The 23137-nt window shown below is 37.2% G+C and overlaps 1 protein-coding gene and 1 pseudogene across 14 annotated transcripts in view; one reads left to right on the plus strand and one right to left on the minus strand.

Annotated features, from left to right (window-relative positions):
• The window catches only part of SLC35F4 (solute carrier family 35 member F4), a 419262-nt gene that overhangs the window by 58961 nt on the left and 337164 nt on the right, over positions 1–23137 (minus strand). The gene's annotated exons all lie outside the window — the stretch shown is intronic.
• On the plus strand, positions 6949–7612 carry LOC401777 (serine and arginine rich splicing factor 10 pseudogene; annotated as a pseudogene).

A 23137-nucleotide genomic window follows, 5' to 3' on the forward strand; every position in this document is an offset into this window, starting at 1 on the left:
GACACTATGAAGAAACTGCATCAACTAACAGGCAAAATAACTAGCTAGCATCATATGACAGGATCGACTTCACACATAACAATATTAACCTTAAATGTGAATGGACTGAGTGCCCCAGTTAAAAGACACAGACTGGCAAATTGGATAAAGAGTCAAGACCCATCAGTGTGCTGTATTCAGAAGACCCATCTCACTTGCAAATCACACATAGGCTCTAAAATAAGAGATGGAAGAATATTTAACAAGCAAATGGAAAGCAAAAAAGCAGAGGTTGCAATCCTATTCTCTGAAAAAACCCAGATATTAAACCAACAAAGATCAAAAAAGACAAAGAAGGGCATTACATAATGGTAAAGGGATCAATGCAACAAGAGGAGCTAAATATCCTAAATATATATGTGCCCAATACAGAAGCACCCAGATTTGTAAAGCAAGTTCTTAGAGACCTAAAAAGAGACTTAGACTCCCACACAATAATAGTGGAAGACTTTAACACCCCACTGTCAACATTAGACAGATCAACGAGACAAAATTAACAAGGATATCCACGACTTGAACTCAGCTCTGGACCAAGCGGACCTAATTGACATCTAGAGAACTCTCCACCCCAAATTAACAGAATATACATTCTTCTCAGCACCACATTGCACTTATTCTAAAATTGACCACATAATTGGAAAACACTCGTCAGCAAATGCAAAAGAATGGAAATCATAACAGTCTCTCAGACCACAGTGCAATCAAATTAGAACTCAGGATTAAGAAGCTCACTCAAAACCACACAACTACATGGAAACTGAACAACCTGCCATGAATGACTACTGGGTAAATAACAAAATTAAGGCAGAAACAAAGATGTTCTTTGAAACCAGTGAGAACAAGTTACAATGTACCAGAATCTCTGGGACACACATAAAGCTGTGTGTAGTGGGAAATTTATAGCACTAAATGCCCACGAGAGAAAGCAGGAAAGATCTAAATCGGACAGCCTAACATCACAATTAAAAGAACTAGAGAAGCAGGAGTAAACAAATGCAAAAGCTAGCAGAAGACAAGAAATAACTAAGATTAGAGCAGAACTGAAGGAGATAGAGACACAAAAATCCCTTCAAAAAATCAATGAATCCAGGAGCTGGTTTTTTGAAATGATCAACAAAATTGATGGACACTGTCCAGACTAATAAAGAAGAAAAGAGAGGACAATCAAATAGACACAATAAAAAATGATAAAGGGGATATCACCACTGATTCCACAGAAATACAAACTAACATCAGAGAATATGATAAACACCTCTACACAAATAAACTAGAAAATCTAGAAGAAGTGGATAAATTCCTGGACACATACACCCTCTCAAGACTAAACCAGGAAGAAGTTGAATCCCTGAGTAGACCAATAACAAGTTCTGAAATTGAAGCAGTAATTAATAGCTTACCAACCAAAAAAAGTCCAGGACCAGGCGGATTCACAGCTGAATTCTACCAGAGGTACAAAGAGGAGCTGGTACCATTCCTTCTGAAACTATTCCAAACAATAGAAAAAGAGGGAAGGAATCCTCCCTAACTCATTTTATGAGGCCAGTGTCATCCTGATACAACAACCTGGGGGAGACACATCAAAAAAGGAAAACTTCAGGCCAATATTCCTGATGAACATTGATGTGAAAATCCTCAGTAAAATACTGGAAAACCAAATCCAGCAGCACATCAAAAAGTTTATCCACCATGTTCAAGTCGGCTTCATCCCTGGGATGCAAGATTGGTTCAACATATGCAAATCAATAAACATAATCCAGCACATAAACAGAACCAATGACAAATATGACATGATTATCTCAATAGATGCAGAAAAGGCCTTCAACAAAATTCAACACCCTTTCATGCTAAAAACTCTCAATAAACTAGGTATTGATGGACCATATCTCAAAATAATAAGACCTATTTATGACAAACCCACAGCCAATATCATACTGAATGGGTAAAAGCTGGAAGCATTCCCTTTGAAAACCGGCACAAGACAAGGATGCCCTCTCTCACCACTCCTATTCAACATACTATTGGAAGTTCTGGCCAGGGCAATCAGGCAAGAGAAAGAAATAAATGGTATTCCAATAGAAAAAGAGGAAGTCAAATTGTCTCTGTTTGCAGATGACGCAATTGTATATTTAGAAAACCCCATCATCTCAGCCCAAAATCTCCTTAAGCTGATAAGCAACTTCAGCAAAGTCTCAGGATACAAAATCAATGTGCAAAAATCACAAGCATTCCTATACACCAAGAACAGACAGAGAGCCAAATCATGAGTGAACTCCCATTCACAATTGCTACAAAGAGAATAAAATACATAGGAATATCACTTACAAGGGATGTGAAGGACCTCTTCAAGGAAAACTACAAAACACTGCTCAAGGAAATAAGAGAGGACACAAACAGATGGAAAAACATTCCATGCACATGGATAGGAAGAATCAATATCATAAAAATGGCCATACTGCCCCAAGTAATTTATAAATTCAATGCTATCCCTATCAAGCTACCATTGACTTTCTTGAAAGAATTGGAAAAAACTACTTTATATTTCGTATGGAATCAAAAAAGAGCCCACATAGCCAAGACAATCCTAAGTAAAAAGAACAAAGCTGGAGGCGTCATGCTACCTGACTTCAAACTATACTACAAGGCTACAGAAACCAAACAGCATGGTACTGGTACCAAAACAGACATATAGACCAATGGAACAGAACAGAGCCCTCAGAAATAACACCGCACATCTACAACCATCTGGTCTTCGACAAACCTGACAAAAACAAGCAATGGAGAAAGGATTCCCTATTTAATAAATGGTGCTGGGAAAACTGGCTAGCCATACGCAGAAAACTGAAACTGGATCCTTTCCTTACACCTTAAACAAAATACCATTTGACCTAGCAATCCCATTACTGGGTATATACCCAAAGGATTATAAATCATTCTACTATAAAGACACACACACGTATGTTTATTGCGGCACTGTTAACAATAGCAAAGACTTGGAACCAACCCAAATGCCCATCAATGATAGGCTGGATAAAGAAAATGTGGCACATATACACCATGGAATACTAAGCAGCCATAAAAAAGGATGAGTTCATGTCATTTGCAGGGACATGGATGAAGCTGGAAACCATCATTCTCAGCAAACTAACACAAGAACAGAAAACCAAACACCTCATGTTTTCACTCATAAGTGGGAGTTTAACAATGAGAACACATGGACACAGGGAGGGGAACATCTCACACTGGGACCTGTTGAGGTGTGGGAGGCTAGGGGAGGGATAGCATTAGAGAAATACGTAATGTAAATGACGGGTTGATGGGTGCAGCAAACTGCCATGGCACATGTATAGCTATGTAACAAACCTGCATGTTTTGCACATGTACCCCAGAACTTAAAGTATATTTTAAAAAGGAAACATAACAATACTTTTCTTGAGAAATAAATCTGTAAAATGGCAAAAAAAAAAAATTCAGTCATATAGAAAGCATCAGCGATGTCTTTTTTCTATACAACTCGTAAATAGGAAGATGTATGTGCTCTGATAGGAGCTCTTTATCTGGGGTCCAGGGACATCTGGGGACTTCAGGAGGTCCTGAAATACTGTAAAACTATATCAAAAAAATTATGTGTATGTGCATATTACTGTAGATATGGTCCATAACTTAAATTGCACACTCAACAAGGAATCCATGTCCCCCAAAAGTTCAAGAACCAGAACTCGATAGCACGCAGTAATTGCTAAAAGAACTATTAGAGCTGGATGGAACTTCAGAGATTCTCTCATTCAAAATATCAGAAACATGAAGTATTCACTTGTGGATTAGGAAATAGAGGTACAATCAATCATATTCATACTAAATATGTTCTCAGGCAAGAACATCAAAGTGTGGCAGCACATGGTTTGGTTAACATAAAGCTAATTTAAAGAAGAAATTCAAAATGGTAATGACTGATAGAGTGGTATTTCTAAAGAGGTGTGTAGAGTTTTCCCTTTTGAAAAGTTTTTTTACAGAAAATCTGAGGTTTTATTTACTGTATGTGAGTTCCTGGTTAAAGGGAAGAGACAATGTGGCACTGTAGCCCTCAAATGCTCCTACTTCTTCTCTTTCCTGGTCTATAGTAACTCCAATAAATGAAATTCACAAGTCTATCCAAGGGCAAGGCAACATATGATTTTGTATATAAAGTTCACATTTTGCATTTAAATGGTGTGTTTACTTTTTTAGCCTTGTCAACTGGAAGTAATGGAGGACTTCAGATCCTGTAACTTGTTTTAAGATGAACATAACATAAAGTCTCATTATTTGGGATGCAAGTATTTTATATTTTGTGATCATTTGGACAAAGCCCAGATTGGCATTTATCTTCGTAGTCTCAAAAATGGGTTCGATAAATATATTTAGAGTAGAGAAACAAGATTGAGGAAGAATGCTTAACTTACCAGTCCCTGTTGCAAGCATTAATCTGTGTATCAAACACTAGTGGTTAATACGCTGTCTAGCAAAGACATTTATTCCTTGGACCAGGGCTAAACAAAACATTGTTAGCTAATTGCTTATGGAATTATACTTACTTTAAATAATTCAACCACATTTTTAAAAAGAAGCATTATTTAGCTAAAAATTCACATAGCTATGCTGGGCTTTTGGGCTGACTGGTTTTATTATTAATCATCATAAAAATCAGATGATCACAGTCTCTTAGATGAACCCAAGAAATAATATACCAGAAACTATCTGACTACTCATTCTTGAATACAATATTCATAAAGCCACTTGCAGTAAAATTCTAACTTGTTCCCGCATTAAGTAAAAATGTTATCAATTTATAAAACCTGATGTTTAAACAAGTGAATGATAGTGTTTTTAAAAAAGAGAAATTTAATTCCTTCCTTTTTTTTAATGCCTCCAATGTTTTAGTCTTTAAGATTGAATGTTAGTCAATGTCTCCGAGTCAAAAGGACTGACAATTTCATCCCAATGTTGCTGTTTTCCCCTTTATTCTTTAGAAATGGGCTCAACCTCAGCTCAGTTGGAATGTCCACTAGGCTGATAAAGATCTCAATTCACCTATGTAGAAAAACATACATTTTATTCAGTTCCTTTTGTATTCCTTTATTTCCTAAAATGCTTGATTCTTATATAGAATTCTTTCTTTATATCATTTCCTTGTCTACGTACATTTTTGGTACGTACATTTCAGGACCTCCTGAAGTCCCCAGATGTCCCTGGACCCCAGATAAAGAGCTCCTATCAGAGCACATACATCTTCCTATTTACGAGTTGTACAGAAAAAAGACATCGCTGATGCTTTCTATATGACTGAATTTTTTTTTTTTTTTGCCATTTTACAGATTTATTTCTCAAGAAAAGTATTGTTATGTTTCCTTTTTAAAATATACTTTAAGTTCTGGGGTACATGTGCAAAACATGCAGGTTTGTTACATAGCTATACATGTGCCATGGCAGTTTGCTGCACCCATCAACCCGTCATTTACATTACGTATTTCTCTAATGCTATCCCTCCCCTAGCCTCCCACACCTCAACAGGTCCCAGTGTGAGATGTTCCCCTCCCTGTGTCCATGTGTTCTCATTGTTAAACTCCCACTTATGAGTGAAAACATGAGGTGTTTGGTTTTCTGTTCTTGTGTTAGTTTGCTGAGAATGATGGTTTCCAGCTTCATCCATGTCCCTGCAAATGACATGAACTCATCCTTTTTTATGGCTGCTTAGTATTCCATGGTGTATATGTGCCACATTTTCTTTATCCAGCTAAATAAATTGCTGAAATGTTAGCAAAGTCAAAGACACGAAACCTCTTAAACACAATAATAAGAGTTTGGGCTCCAGATAAACTACCTGATATGTAAATAAGTCAAATCAAAGCAACTTTAAAAAAAATTTTCTCTTTTAGGGACTGAAAAATTTCCCTAAAGTGATTTTCATTTCAAAACTGCCAATTGTATACGTAGAAATCATAATTAGGCAACAGGTCATTTCAGCTGTATCTCATGGATTTCCCCTGAGAATGAACAGTGATGATAACAGCACAAGAAGCATAAAAACAGTCACATGGAGAAGGGCAAGTGCCCAGGAAAACAGCATTTACCATCGGATACAGGTGATTTTTGTTCAGAGACATGGTCGGAGCTAAGGGCACCACTCTTGCAGAACATTTCTTCATCTTTTGAAATTATTTGTCTTGTTCTCAGTGCTTCCTCTGACTTTGTTTTGAGTCTCCTGTTCTGTAGCACACACTCTGCTATGGCTAGTGTCTAGCTGCTGTTCTGAAAATGTTACTGAAAGCTACAAGGACTGGTTTACTGTCTCCCTGGGAAACCATTTGCCCCACATTCAAACAATGTTTGACCTCCACTAAAAATTTTTTTTAAAAAATCAATTGTTAGGCACAGTGGGAAACTATGAGAAATGAAAGGAGAAATAAACACTGTTTTCCACTTAAACTGCAGGAGAGTTGTTGGACTGAAGCATTGCCTTTCTAAAGAAATATATAAATGTAAATGTGACTAAGGCACAGAATTTCCATGGTGCAACCAGAAGGAAGAACATACAATATCTTCCAGAAAAATATGGAGTTCAGTGCACAAATCACATAAGAAGACTGTGATGTCATGGTATACATTGATTTTGATGAAGGATGATTTAGTTGTGCCATATAGAAACTTCAAGATTAAAATGTGCCCATAAATAGAAAAGAAACTGTTTTCTCATGGAATGGTCACAGAAATTATCACTATATATGCATCAATTTATTCAAGATCAATACACATAGATCTGTATAGTTGCTAGATACATGGGCACATAAGACAGGAACACAGGAAGCAGGGACAGAGCTCAGGAACATGAATGAGAAATTACAACTGCATGACTGTAGACGAGAAGTGGGAGTGGAGGATCGGCAGCCGGAGATGCAGACAGTTTGCTGAGACTGCTAGTGCTCTAGGCTGAGACTCACACCACCACCATGTCCTGCTACCAGTATCGCTGAACACATCTCTCTTCTTCAGGAATGTGGCCGATGACACCAGGTATGAAGATTTACAGTGTGAACTTGGTCATTATGGTCCTATAGTTGATGTGTATGTTCCGCTTGATTTCTACATTCGCTGTCCAAGAGGATTTGCTTATATTCAATTTGAGGATGTTTGTGATGCTGAAGATGCTTACATAATTTGGACAGAAAGTGGATTTGTGGATGGCAGATTAAAATACAGTTTGCCTAGGGGGATCAGAAGACACTAAATCAGATGAAAGCCAAGGAAGGGAAGAATGTGTACAGTTCTTCATGCTATGATGATGATGACAGATACAGACATTCTAGAAGCCAAAGTTGTAAAAGAAGGAGATCAAGAAGGCTGTCTTCTGATTACAACTATAGAAGGTCGTATAGTCCTAGAAACAGTAGACCGACTGGAAGACCACACATAGCAGAAGCCATTCCAAATATGATAGATTCAAACACTGAAATTAATCTTTTTCAAAATCTAAATCCAATTCAAGATCACGGTCCAAGTCCCAGCCCAAGAGAGAAATGAAGGCTGAATCACATTCTAGGTCTGCATCTCACACCAAAACTAGAGGCACCTCAAAAATAGATTCCAAAACACATTATAAGTCTGGCTCAAGATATGAAAAGGAATTAGGGAAAAAAAGAACCACCTAGATCCAAATCTCAGTCAAAATCACAGTCTATGTTTAGGTCAAAATCGGTATCAAGGTCTTGGACTAGTCCTATGCTCAGTGGCCATTGACAGTATAAACCATGATCATTTTTAGGCGTGTGTCATTCACTTATTCATAGTTTGGTTTACCTAAATTATCAGGAATACAGTGTTGCAATGATGATTAAAAAGACACTTGTTAGTTTTCCCTGTACCAGGCAATGATCATAATCAAAATGATATGCTGTTGAGAAGCCACTCTTAAGAGTCCAGTTTGTTTAATGTTATGAGCAGCCACCAATTTGTGGTGTCTCTGTATATTTTTGTAAAGATTCTCATTTTTATGCTTGAAGTATTTGGTGAAAAGATGTGGTTGACCATAATTTGCAACATTCTTTTATTAAAAATAAACTTTCATATTTGTATTTGGTAGAACCGTTAACCTAGAAATGTAGCTTGTTAATAAGAATGACACAAAAATGAAGTCATAGCTACAGTACAACACTGACTGCTCAGACACATTTAGGTTCAGGGCAGGCCTTTATGTCTTGTCAAGGTGTCTTGTCATGATAATTATTTATGATGAAGTGTGGATTCGTTTTTTTGTTAACCCCACTGTCTTAGGGAATTATGCCAACTGGGTTACATAGTATTTTCAGGGAGACTGAGTTTTTGACTGAAACATGGAGGCTTCACTGCTTTTTTCTGGTTCCTATGAAGATTTGGAAAATAGAAAACATCACAAAAACTCACCTTAAAATGGCAAAAATAATTTTAAAGGGAAAATAATGTTCTTATATAGTTATTATAAAGTTTAAGGGGCATTGTTGATCATAATGTTGCTTAGTTTTCTTACAGCTGTTGGAAGCAAACTTTGTGTGTGCGTGCATAGTGTAAAAGAACTGAAATTTTGATGCTTACAGCACTTGGCCTGTGCATTTGTATCAAAATTTGCCTGCCTCGTTATGAGGGAGGTTTGCTTTTCAGGCCTCAGTTTATTTAATATGAGGCAAGTTGAAAGACAACATTCATTCTAGGTGATTTTGTGGTACCAAGAAATTTAAAGTAATTTTGGAAAAAGGATTAGTCAGTTTTAAGCAAGAGTCAGATCTTCTGAGTTTTTGATTATCAGTGTAGTACCTGACTAAAAATGAAGAAGTAATATCCTTAACCATTTATAATTTCTAGTATTTCTCTGAAAGATCGTTTTGGGGACAAAAGTGACTTGACATGTCCAATCTCAAATCTTTATAAAAAGCCAAAAATTAAAAAAAGTCTCGGATTGCTTGCTTACAGATATAAGTAAGAATTATCACAAAGAAACGATTCCTTTTAGAGGATTACTTTTTTCAATTTTGGTTTTAGTAATCTAGGCTTTGCCTACAAAGAACAAAACAATGGTTCTGAAATACTGTTTGTGGAATGTGTTTAAAGGATTGATTCTAGAACCTTTGTATATTTGATAGTATTTCTAACTTTCATTTCTTTACTGTTTGCAGTTAGTGTTCATGTTCTGCTATGCAGTCATTTATATGCAGGTTTAATTTTTTTTTTTAGATTTTCCTGGACATATAGTTTCAACAACAAAAAGTCTATTTAAAACTGTAGCAGTAGTTTGCAGTTCTAGCAAAGAGGAAAGTTGTGGGGTTAAATTTTGCATTTTCTTTCTTATAGAAGCCTCTGAAATGGTATTTTTGAATGTCTGGATCAAAACAGGACCCAGCTTATTTTATGCTTGTGTAAATCAAGCAAACATGTTATAATAAAAACAAAATGAAGGAAAAAAAAGAGTAGATGAGGAGTCACAGGGAGAGCTCACAGGAGGTAAAGAAAGACAGGCCTTCAAGGATCTCTGAAGAATAGAATACTAACTTCTTAAAAAATAGACTGTATTTCTTAGAGCAGTTTTAGGTTCATAGCAAAATTAAGAAGGTTCAGATATTTCCCATATAATTCCTGCCCCCACACATCCATAGCCTCCCCCATTATCAACATTCCCCACCACAGTGGCACATTGGTTACAACTGATGAACCTACATGAACACTGCATTATCACCCAAAGTCCATAGTTTACATTAGGGTTCACTCTTGGTGTCATACCTTCTATGGGTTTTTTGTTTTTGTTTTTTTGACATGCCCAGGCTGGAGTGCAGTGGTGGGATCTTGGCTCACTGCAACGTCCAACTATGGGTTTTTGACAAATTTATAACGATATGTATCCACCATTGGAGTATCATACAGAGTACTTTCACTTCCCTAAAAATCCTCTGTGCTTTGCCTCCCTCCCTATCCATCCCTCCCTCCCTTCAATCTATGACAACCACTCATCTTTTCACTGTCTCAATAACTTTGCCTTTTCCAGAATGTCATATCATTGGACTCATGCAGTATATAGACTTCTCAGATTGGCTTTTTTCACTTAGTAATGTGCATTTAAGTTTCCTCTATGTCATTTCATAATCTGATAGCTCATTTAACACTCAATAATATTCCAATGTCCGCATGTACCACAGTTTATTTATCCATTTACCTACTAGAGGATATCTCGATTGCATCTAAGTCTGGGCAATTACAAAGAAAGCTGCTCTAAATATTCATGTGCAGGATTTTTTGCAGACATAAGTTTTCAACTCCTTTGAATGAACACCAAGGAGTGAGATTACTGGATTTTACAGTAAGAGTATATTTAGCTTTGTAGGAAACTGTCAAATTATCTTCCAAAGGTGCTATACCATTTTGCATTTCCACTACAATAATTAAGAATTCCTGTTGCTCCACATGCTCTCCAGCATTTGATGTTGTCAGTGTTCTGATTTTGGCCATTCTAATAGATAAGTAATGGTATCTCATTGCTGTAATTGGTATTTCCCTGATGACAGGTGATGTGAAAGAATACTAACTTTTAAAAAACTTTTTATTTTTAAATAATTTTAGACTCACATAAAAGTTGCACAACTTGTACAGAGACTTCCCATGTACCCTTCACCCAGCATTTTACCACACACATAGATTTGTGTAACCACCACCATAGTAAGATATAGAACAGTTTCATCACCCCCAAACTCTCTCACGCTTTCCCTTTTTAGTCTCCCTCCTCTATCCCAGCCCTTGGCAACTACCTGTCTATTCTCCATCACTATATGTCATTTTGAAACCATTATAGAAATTAAACCATGTAGTATATAACATTTTGAGGCTGGCTTTCTTCACTCAGCATAATGCCCTCAGATGTATACAAGTTGTGTGTATCAATTGTTGTTTCTTTTTATTGCGGAGTGGTATTCCATAGTATGAATCTACCATGGACAGAATGCTAACTTTAAAGGACTAAGAGCAGAAAAGGAGCCCACATATGAGAATGAGAAAGATGGAGCCAGAAAAGGGGATGTAGGAGAGTTAGAATCCAGAAGTAGAGGAAGGTAGTGCTTCAAGCAGAATGATATGCTCAGCTGTGTTAAAGCTGTAAAATGAGATAAGGACCAAGAATTTAGCAGCAACAACCACAACCAGCAATGTGCTGAGCACCCACCATGTGCTAGGAATGTGCTAGGCTCTGGGATAAAACGGGAAGCAAAGCCAGACATGTTCTTTCATGGCGTCTAAAGAGTCAGGTGAAACTGATCACCTATCTCATTAATAAAATGTAAGTTGTGATAAGTGCGGTTGAAGGCAAGGGAATGGTGCTATGAAGATGTATAACAGAAGGATGTGGCCTTATCTAGAGTACATTCTCTCCTTCCTTCCTTTATTCTTTCATTCACTGTACCAAATTTGGATGTCTACTATGTGCCAGCTCTGTGTTCAGTCATGTAAACACATTTGGGCAAGATTCTTATCTTCATGGTGCTTCAGAGTGTGGGAGTGACGTTTGAACTGAAAGATATGAATGACAAGAAGGAGTGAAGTGGGTGGAGTATGGCAGGTGGCAGCAGCACCATTCATTGGAAAAACAGAAAACTCCAGTGTGGCTGGAATGCAGTGAGTGAGCGAGGAATTCACAGGTGAGATAAACCTGTAAAGGCAGGCAGGGGCCAGATACTGCCTCAGGCCATGGGATGAGATTTGGATTTTTTTTCCCCTAAGTATAATTCAAAGCTATTGCATGGTTTTAAGCAAGAAAGTCTGCTGATTTTGTTTGTTGTTTAAAAAGATCACTGTGGTAACTGTGTGGAGAACGGACTAGGATGGAGGAGAGAGTTCAGGTGAAAGGTGATAGTGACTTCACCTAGAATGGTGAAGTGGAGATGAAGACAAGTAGCTAGGGCTGAAACAATTTTGGAGACAGACCTAACAAGCCTTGGTGATGGATTATCCAATCCAAGTCAGGAAAGGGATAGAGGTAGAAGATGAGTGATCAAAAGTGTTAAGAAAACCCCCTTGGCCGGTTGCGGCTCATGCCTGTAACCCCAGGAGGCTGACGCAGGAGGATCACTTGAGGCCAGGAGTTCAAGACAAACCTGGGCATCATAGTGAAACTCTGTACCTACCAAAAAGAAATTGGTAAGGTGTGATGGCATGCACCTATAGTCCTAGCTACTTGGGAAGCTGAGGCAGGAGGATTGCTTGAGCTCAGAAGTTTGAGGCTGCAGTGAGTTATGATCATGCCATTGCACTATAGCCTGGGTGACAAAGCAAGACTCTTACTCAAAAAAAAAAAAAAAAACCCCAAATATCTGGCTTTTGCAACTGGGTGGATGTTGTCCTTTACTGAACAATGTAGGAGACAAACAACTGCGAGAGAGAGGAGTACTCACTGAAGTGCGGAGAGGGGTCGGAGGGAGACTAAGCGGCTGATTTCAGATGTGTTAAGTTTCAGAAATATATGACATCCAAGTGGGGATGTCAAAAAGGCCATTAGACTGTGCAGTCTGTTGCTCAGAAGATAACACTGGGCTAGAGAAATATGGGAATAGTCAGCTGAGAGATGTTTAATTGTCACAGGTTTGAGTGAGATCAGCTAACACACAGCACTACAGGAGGAACCAGCACTGAGCTCCAAGGCCACCAACATTTAGATTTGAGGTTGAGATGAAGCCAGTAAAGGAGACAGATGCTTAATTAATAAGCATCTGCAAAACTAAAATTCAGGAAGGCCTCAAGAATGGCAGCTTAATATGTCAAACTTGAAATGCCATAAGAAATTATTTTCCAGGAATTACAAATGTATTCTTGGAAGCTAATGAGCTGTTTTGATTTCTGAGAACAAATTTAAATAAGTTTGAGAAATTGCATCAAACAATTTATGCCAGTGTATGTAATTACGCCAACACATATGGCACCTAAAAACCACTCACTACTTCAACAGCATGTGAAAATGTTAGCAAAGCAAGAGAAATGGAGCCTTAACTCATAACTTCCTGGCTACACCAGGTGAAAGTTAAAACAGCTTTTACTTCCATGTGGGGTCTTATTGTTGATTTGCTGGAGTAGGTTTTGTATGCTGTTAATAGGTGGCTTCAGGAAAATTATCCAGAGCTGCCACAGCAAACCAATGTTTGCTTCACAATCTCCAAATTAGACAATGGAGACATTAAGACAGCAGGAGAACCAGTAGGAGTTAGGCACAGTTTAATTCTCTGCAGAAACCCAACCAAGCTTAAACACTGGGCGCTGACTCCTCCAGGTGGAAATAGGAACAGCCCGATGGGAACTGTTTTCAGTACGTTGGATTTGATTACTAAACATGTAGACCTTACTAACATGCTTTGAAAACTTATGTTCTACTCTATATTGCAGAGGTTGCACTGAAAATACCATGCACGGTAGCTCTACTGCTTGTGGGGTTTATAACACATTTGCAGCACACTTGTAGACTGCTTTAACAGCCAATAAAGAATGCTCATATACCCCACTCCATGTTATTCTTCCATTAATTAGTGAGGCAGTTACTATTATCTTTACTTAACAGGTGAGAAAAGCAAAGCTGAAAAAGCTTGATAAAAGCAATATGTCATATGAACAACAGCTTTCCAAATAGATATTCTAATGATTGCTTTATTCCAGAATTATGTATTAAACACTTGCTATGGGTCAGGGATTGTGCTAAAATTTGGAAATATAAAAATAAGTTAGATGACGATTTCTGCTTGCAGTCTACTGATATTTTTGGTGGGTTTACCAGATAAAATCCCATGCTCTCTGCCAGATAGACTTAGACTTAAAATTATTTGCTGTTCATTTGATTCAAATTTAACTGAGCATACTAGTTTTCTATTTGCAAAATCTGGCAACCCTATACATTATTAGAGACTTTTTAATGAACCACCTAGGCCAACAGAGCCCTCTTTGTTATTTTTACATTATAAAAAGTGACTCCAAATGCTTTATTTTCCAGAAAAATTACATCTGCCAACAAAATGCAAGCCACAGACTAGTGTTTATTAACCACAGCAGAACCAGTTACAAGGTTCTAGTCAAGGAGTGCTTCATCCCTGAATGAATCTTACGTAAAAGTGGTTTTTAGTTTATACAAAGAAGCTTTGCATACGTTATGTCATTGGACCTCAGAGCAATTGATCTTAATTCCAATTTATAGATGAGGAAACCAAGGCTTAGAGTGGCCAAGTGACTTTCTTGGGAGTGAAAAATAAATCCTGGGACTCTGAAACAAGTCACCAAACCCATCAACCTGTAGAAAAAAGTGTCTCTTTTTCTATAGGATGCTGGATGCTGATGACAATAATAACAGCTGAAGTAGAATCTTACAATTGAACTCCTCCTCCTTCAGTTTTGCATTGTGGAGAACAACACAATCAGTGTCTTGTCCCTCAGATCCTAAAGTCAGAAAGTGTCTCCTAACCCCATCTGTAAGAGACCTTTCTGGAGGAAGCTGTTGCCATGCTGAAGCGCCCAGCTCCCTGGCCCTGTGGTGGCGAAGGGAAGTGCTTCTCTCTGCAGTCTTACACGTTTTATAAAGAAACACACGCAAATGTCCAAATACATAAAATGGGATCCTCTCCGAGGATGGTTTAGCTAGGACTGCTGTACTAGAAGCAGGCTCAATCTTCCAGGCTAACTGAAGGAGGTACTAAAAGTTGCCTCTAAAAGGAATTACCACCATTGGACTGTACCATTTTACATATTCTAAATTACTGTTTTAATATAATGTAATACAAACATTATTACAAACAATTCCTGAGGAGACTAGGGCATGAAGCTACCTGATTTCATATGAGAACTGAAAATAAAATCCTAATCCCCTCAGCTGACTGAATGAACCCCTCTTGGCAAAAGGGACCCCAAAGAGACATTAAAAACTGAGTCTTGGCCATGATGGGATGGGAGGTCAGACACACTTCTTTAGACCCCGTCCCTTTTGCAGCTAGACACCACTGACCAGCATTAATGTTAAAATAAAGATCATAAGACTGATGGAATGCACTCTTTGTGATAATAACAAATTATAAACGAGACCTACGGTCATACCAGGCAGGAGTTAAGCCACCCTCCTCTACATAAGAATAAACTATGTCCTAACCACCACAAGGTTTCTCTTTCTCTAGCAGCTAAATAAGCCTTGGCCTCCAGGTAAGCGATATTGAAACAATTGCAGCTCATCCACTAGCAGACTCTGAGTAACTGACACCCTTGTTCCACAAGCAATAGCTACAGCTTTGATTGGTTAGGACTGATTTCAGTAACTTTCTCCTGATAAGAGACCACTGACCACAGACTGGTTCTGGCTGGTTTACAGAGGCTGCACACTGAGTGCCTTTATGTCTCTGTGTCACCTTCTGGTGTATAGGGCCTAATTGTAATGCATTTAAAAGTCTCAGCCCCAGAGTGAACATGGGTTGTGTGTAACATGTATGTTTGTTCAGCACACGTGTTAGGGGCCCCTTCGTGAATATTCATAGCTCTTCTTGTAAGCTGTTGAATACATAAATTTAGCCAATCCACTGAGCATAAATCTCCTCTGCAACCCTTACTCCTTGGAAATGCCTGCTTCCAGTTTCAGCCAGAGGCTCACTTTCCAAACTGCAGGGTGAACCCTTTAAAGAAATAAAGTCTCCTTTCAAATTTATAATTGTGTGATTTTTCAGTCGACATGTGTTTTATAGAACCAAATGGGACTAAAACAAGAATTAGCCCTTCTGATACAAGGAAGGCTACTACAGGAAAGGCAGGTGGGTGGCGGGAACAGATGTTACTCTTATGTGTCCCAAACCCCTTCCTCTGGATGACAGCCATGATTTTCCCACAAGGAACCACCTCTCTTCCACTCTAAATCTACATAGTTTAGGTCAGAGGTCCCCTATCAAGAGGTCCTCTTGAGAGAATGCAAGCCTAGAGTTAGGGTCATCTTTGCCACATACATGCAAAATGGAGAGAGACCAAGTGTTCATTCTTTCAAGCCTTACCTGAAGTCAAACATCTCCTGGACTTTTCGGTGTCATAAACCCCAAAATTCTGCCTTTTGTTTATTTCTGTGCCCAATTTGACTTAGGAGTCTGTTACCTGTAAGTGAAGGCATTGGGTCCATTTTAATGGCCCTAAGCAAAAGAGGCTGATGAACTTTGACCTAATCAGCTAATATCACTGGTTTAGAAAACAATTTGAAAAATAATCTCATTAGCTAAGTTAGATTAAGTCAATTACACAGAGTCTGAGCTGACAAGAGATAAAGACAGATGACCCCAAATTATTACACTGCCTGTTTCTTGCCCTAAATATATCCTGCCTCATTAATGACACAAGATATACCACTTCTCATCCTTCTTTTGTGAAACCATTTTCTCATCTTCTTATAACTACATGTATAAATTAAAAACACAGAAGATTCATTGAGAAGTCCCCATTTTCCCCACCCCTATGTTAATATAGTGTTTTCTGCTTGGGATCAGCTAAAGTCTATAAAATTTTGTGTTGGTTCATTATTATGTTCAGATTGGGTTTACCAAAACACAAGAGCCATGGGCTCTGTATTCAACTGAAGGTCATATTTATTTGTTTCATTAGTGCCAGATATAATTTTAAAATATCTCAGAGTGAAGCTCCCATAATTCCATATCAAAATAATTCCAGGATATTATTGCTTTCTTGGTGAGGGGCCCAGTACTTTATTAGGTGATGTGGCAGAGGACAAGGTATTCACCCCACTTTATCCCATAAATGACAATTGTCTAAGTCTACTAGTCTACTAGTGCATAGGACTACTAATCATGAGTCTACTAGTATATCTAACTACTACAATTTATGGAGCAAAACTTCTGCCTTAGGAAGTTGGGCCTTACTGATATTTGGAGTAATAAAGGGAAAACATGGGCTGATCTGTCCAGGATAACCATAAGAAACTCGTTTTAGCTCACGGTGCCCATCAACATCATGGTCATGTGTGGTCATTATCTCAATTTTAGCTTCAAGAAACAAACTCTTCTTCAAAGCCAACAAAGACCTCCCCCTTTTTCTATATTAAAAATTTCTCCTCTCCTCTCAATATAATATTTCCTTTGAATATCACAACTTATATCCTATAATAAATGACCTGGTCCCTAATCTAGAAAGGCAGGCACAAGAGGGAAGAGAGGGTTAAAGTTTCTCTCCAATGGTCTCTGCTGGTTTCCTTATCTTCTGTAATGTGCTGTAAATGTTCCAGGAGGATCTGTGTGTTCCAACATCTTGACTTTATGGTATTTCCAACATACTGGCAACCAAAATTCTGTAAATCCCCACTGAATAGAGGAAAGATAAAGAATCCATTTCTATCTATCTAATTCCTAATCACAAAAAGTACTGACAAAAAAGAGATAAAGAATTCCTTTAGACTTTAGAAAGGAAAAAGAAAATGTATAAAAACTTCAAGCCAAGAGAACACATGAGGCTTGAACCAATTGCAGACTTACAGCTGTTTTCTACCTCTTCAATTGTGACTCAAGAGTAACTCCCCTGTTTTATTTTGGTACAAGTCTCCTACACTGAACAAATTCCAGCAACACCTTTTTACATGTGCCAAATAGTACTTCAAGAGCATTGAAAAGGATATTGTATTTGTTCCTTATTCAATGAGGCATTATCTCCATTTTATGAATGAAAACATTGAGACTCAGGGAAGTTAAGTAAAATAACTGAGGTTATACAGCAAGTATAGTCACACAGAGCCCTGATATATCATTTTGGATAGCATATTTCCATAAGTTTGGTTTATATAGATTATCTCTGTCAAAATAACACTTAGAAAAGATAATCACTTTTTATGTTCAGTCCTTAAAGAAAGCCACTTGAGATGAGAAAAGAATTAGCTTAAATTTTACAAACAATATTAACATAAAAATAGAACTCATATAGATCTGATTGAAGGCAATTGATATAGCATGAACTTTATAAAATGATAGAAAATATAAGTTTATATGAACTATAAATTAATCGATAAATAGTGGCTGACTCTGCACACCAATATAATGGTTTTCTGGTCTTTTTAACAATTCATTTTTCTTGCCAGAAAGCATTACCACACGAAAGTGAAAATCAATACAATGTTATAAAGAAACAGTTGTTCTATAGACAAACACTAACTAGCCTTAGAGAGAAAGCAAAGATAATCATTTATAAAATGTAAGCCTTTTTCTATTCAATATCAAAAGCACCTATTGCATCCTAATTATTTACTCAGAGGAACGATGATCATAAACACGCTAACTTTAAAATAGTGTATTTTTTAAATGAGCCTATGACAAACAACATTGTCTCTCAGTTTCACTGAAAATCTTACCAAAGCCAACTGAGACAGCCCCAGAATAAGACAGCCCCAGAATAAGATTGCCAGGTGAACCTAATTCTTCTGGGCCTCAGTTTCCTCATCTTTAAGATGAGAGAGTTAGACTGGATGACCCTAGTCAGCAAAACCCAATAAAACAGAAACACCCCCAAAAATAACAAGAGAGGAAATCTAGGTACACTTTCTAGCTGAAGATTTGAAATTAGCCTGCTAAAGTCATGACCTATTTTAAGAAAACTCAAGACTTAAACCTCCAAAACCACAAAATGGATAAACTGGGAAGTGATTCTACTAGAAAATGATTCATGCTGTAATGCTTTTAAATGACAATGTTTCATAGTACCACTAAAACATGATTTAATTTAGAGTAAAAGGAAACAAAATTTATAAAAGTTTTAACACTATAGCTATTACATAGAACAGCTATTACACTGCAGCTATTACCTAGAATACTTTGTATTAATAGGCAATAATTTACCCTTGCACAGACCTATTTATGAAGATAAGCAACACTCACCTGTCTAGATTCACTGATGAATAGCATAGTCTTAAGAGAGGTGGGTATAAGTAACTTCTAGGCTTACAAGTCTGTTTTCCTAAAAGCCATTATTTGGGATTTATTAAAGATTGAGTTACTTGGATGTACTATTGGGGATTGCACAATCAACTCTAATCTATAAACACAAATATCCATTGCATTAACACAAATACATACTCTTATTTCTAGAAAGTCTGCAAATCTGGATTGCTTGACCCTAGAGATTCATTAGAGTTTAATTGCCTTATTTTATTACTTTGTCCCACAGTTGCCCATTAATAAATAAAATAGCAATAAGGCCACGTGCTAAGGTGACATGGGGAGGTGATTTTTAACCTTATCTAGACAAACTCCTAATTAACCGTGGTTGCAATCACCATTTCTTTCTACGTTTAACTCTTTCCATTGTTGGTGAAGGTGTTTACATTGAAGACCGAGAGCTAGTGAGAAAAAAAAAATCACTCCTCTTTCAGGGCTGATTTTATATTAACAACAAATTAACTTGTGCTTAGGTGATCATTTTGCTTTTCCACAACATTATAGTTATTGGAATATAAACGATTATCCTAGTAATGGCAAATACCATATTTTATAAGATACAGATTTTTTCTTTTTTTTTCCAATTTACTTTTATTTTTGTGATGTTAAATCAGAAGTTTAACTTTCATCCCCTTCTGAGTTTATATTCACATGAAACAAAACTTCTTATCTAAAAACACAAAACATCTGGACAAAAGAACTGTTTACTTTTTTTGATGTTTTCAATGTTGATATTTTTTTCCAAGAAGTAGAGAAATATCTCTGGATGGTTGTCTAAAATGTATAATTTTTGTACAGATATGGTATATAGGGCAGTGTCATAGTTTTAATGTTGAAAAAGCATTCTTTTAAATTATAGCAAATTATAAAGTATTTATATACATAATATGGCAATATCACTTCAGGAATTCAGATTTTTACCAACTAAAATAAGAAAAAAATGTCAATTTAAATAAAACATTTAATTATTTAGGTGGTTTACCCTATCTCCCATTTATTTAGTCTGGTTGCTTTGGCATATCTTTAGATTGGATAAGATTTATTCTCTTCCTCTTCTTGTTATAGGACATCTACTCTAGCATTTTAGATATACATTCTTTAGCACATTGTTTGTGTAATGGTTTAGCAAAAATTATGGCTTTATCCATATTAATATAAATCAGAATGATTAATCTAATTAGCCCAAATATAAAAATGCAAACCTTAATTGGTTCTTATTGTAAATGACCCACAAACAAAAGTTTCAACCACCTTCAGAAAAAAAAAATAAAACACTTAAGCAAGTATAGTAACACTTACTAGAGCACAGTAATTTGACAGCTAATGATTTGACCAATTGTATTAAGACTTGATATGACATTTTCATAGAAAACACTGTAGCCTGTTTAATTATTGAGTAATGCATACCAAGGACTCTTAACAATGAACATTTACTTTCCTGTGATAAACTGACATTAAGTAAGAAATAGTGCAATGCTAAAATAAATTATCTTAAAATAAAATTCAGATCAATAATAACAATAATACATAATAATGGCCCTGATTTATGAGTACTTACTATCTGTCAGTAGCTTCAGTTTTGCCTGCTGGAAATTATCACCCGATTTACAGGTAGCAAAACGGGCTTAAATAATTTAAATGAATCACTTAAGACCTACAGTAGGTAGCCTTTCTAATATTCTGTTCTGCTCCCACACATTACAACTCATCATTGGTCATTTTTTTTAAATTTTATTATTGTTATACTTTAAGTTTTAGGGTACATGTGCACAACGTGCAGGTTTGTTACTTATGTATACATGTGCCATGCTGGTGTGCTGCACCCATTAACTCCTCATTTAGCATTAGGTATATCTCCTAATACTATCCCTCCCCCCTTCCCCCACCCCACAACAGGCCCGGGTGTGTGATGTTCCCCTTCCTGTGTCCATGTGTTCTCATTGTTCAATTCCCACCTATGAGTGAGAATATGCGGTGTTTGGTTTTTTGTCCATGCGATAGTTTGCTGAGAATGATGGTTTCCAGCTTCATCCATGTCCCTACAAAGGACATGAACTCATCCTTGTTTATGGCTGCATAGTATTCCATGGTGTGTATGTGCCACATTTTCTTAATCCAGTCTATCATTGTTGGACATTTGGGTTGGTTCCAAGTCTTTGCTATTATGAATAGTGCCATAATAAACATACGTGTGCATGTGTCTTTATAGCAGCACGATTTATAATTCTTTGGGTATATACCCAGTAATGGGATGGCTGGGTCAAATGGTATTTCTAGTTCTAGATCCCTGAGGAATCGCCACACTGACTTCCACAGTGGTTGAACTAGTTTACAGTCCCACCAACAGTGTAAAAGTGTTCCTATTTCTCCACATCCTCTCCAGCACCTGTTGTTTCCTGACTTTTTAATGATTGCCATTCTAACTAGTGTGAGATGGTATCTCACTGTGGTTTTGATTTGCATTTCTCTGATGGCCAGTGATGATGAGCATTTTTTCGAGTGTTTTTTGGCAGCATAAATATCTTCTTTTGAGAAGTGTCTGTTCATATCCTTTGCCCACTTTTTGATGGGTTTTTTTTTTCCTTGTAAATTTGTTTGAGTTCTTTGTAGATTCTGGATATTAGCCCTTTGTCAGATGAGTAGGTTGCGAAAATTTTCTCCCATTCTGTAGGTTGCCTGTTCACTCTGATGGTGGTTTCTTTTGCTGTGCAGAAGCTCTTTAGTTTAATTAGATCCCATTTGTCAATTTTGGCTTTTGTTGCCATTGCTTTTGGTGTTTTAGACATGAAGTCCTTGCCCATGCCTATGTCTTGAATGGTATTGCCTAGGTTTTCTTCTAGGGTTTTTATGGTTAGACCTAAATTTCTAACATGTAACTCTTTAATCCATCTTGAATTAATTTTTGTATAAGGTGTAAGGAAGGGATCCAGTTTCAGCTTACTACATGTGGCTAGCCAGTTTTCCCAGCACCATTTATTAAATAGGGAATCCTTTCCCCATTGCTTGTTTTTGTCAGGTTTGTCAAAGATCAGATAGTTGTAGATATGTGGCATTATTTCTGAGAGCTCTGTTTTGTTCCATTGGTCTATATCTCTGTTGTGGTACAAGTACCATGCTGTTTTGGTTACTGTAGCCTTGTAGTATAGTTTAAAGTCAGGTAGTGTTATGCCTCCAGCTTTGTTCTTTTGGCTTAGGATTGATTCGATGATGCAGACTCTTTTTTGGTTCCACATGAACTTTAAAGTAGTTTTTTCCAATTCTGTGAACAAAGTCATTGGTAGCTTGATGGGGATGGCATTGAATCTATAAATTACCTTGGGCAGTATGGCCATTTTCACAATATTGATTCTTCCTACCCATGAGCATGGAATGTTCTTCCTTTTGTTTGTATCCTCTTTTATTTCATTGAGCAGTGGTTTGTAGTTCTCCTTGAAGAGGTCCTACACATCCCTTGTAAGGTGGATTCCTAGGTATTTTATTCTCTTTGAAGCAATCGTGAATGGGAGTTCACTCATGATTTGGCTCTCTGTTTGTCTGTTATTGGTGTATAAGAATGCTTGTGATTTTTGCACATTGATTTTGTATCCTGAGACTTTGCTGAAGTTGCTTATCAGCTTAAGGAGATTTTGGGCTGAGATGATGGGGTTTTCTAGATATACAATCATGTACATCTGCAAACAGGGACAATTTGACTTCGTCTTTTCCTAATTGAATGCCCTTTATTTCCTTCTCCTGCCTGATTGCCCTGACCAGAACTTCCAACACTATGTTGAATAGGAGTGGTGAGAGAGGGCATCCCTGTCTTGTGCCAGTTTTCAAAGGGAATGCTTCCAGTTTTCATCCATTCAGTATGATATTGGCTGTAGGCTTGTCATAGATAGCTCCTATTATTTTGAGATACGTCCCATCAGTACCTAATTTATTGAGAGTTTTTAGCATGAAGGGCAGTTGAATTTTGTCAAAGGCCTTTTCTGCATCTATTGAGATAATCATGTGGTTTTTGTCTTTGGTTCCGTTTATATGCTGGATTACATTTATTGATTTGTGTCTGTTGAACCAGCCTTGCATCCCAGGGATGAAGCCCACTTGATCATGGTGGATAAGCTTTTTGATGTGCTGCTGGATTC

This window comes from Homo sapiens, chromosome 14, assembly GCF_000001405.40.
Source record: "Homo sapiens chromosome 14, GRCh38.p14 Primary Assembly".
Lineage (NCBI taxonomy): Eukaryota > Metazoa > Chordata > Mammalia > Primates > Hominidae > Homo > Homo sapiens.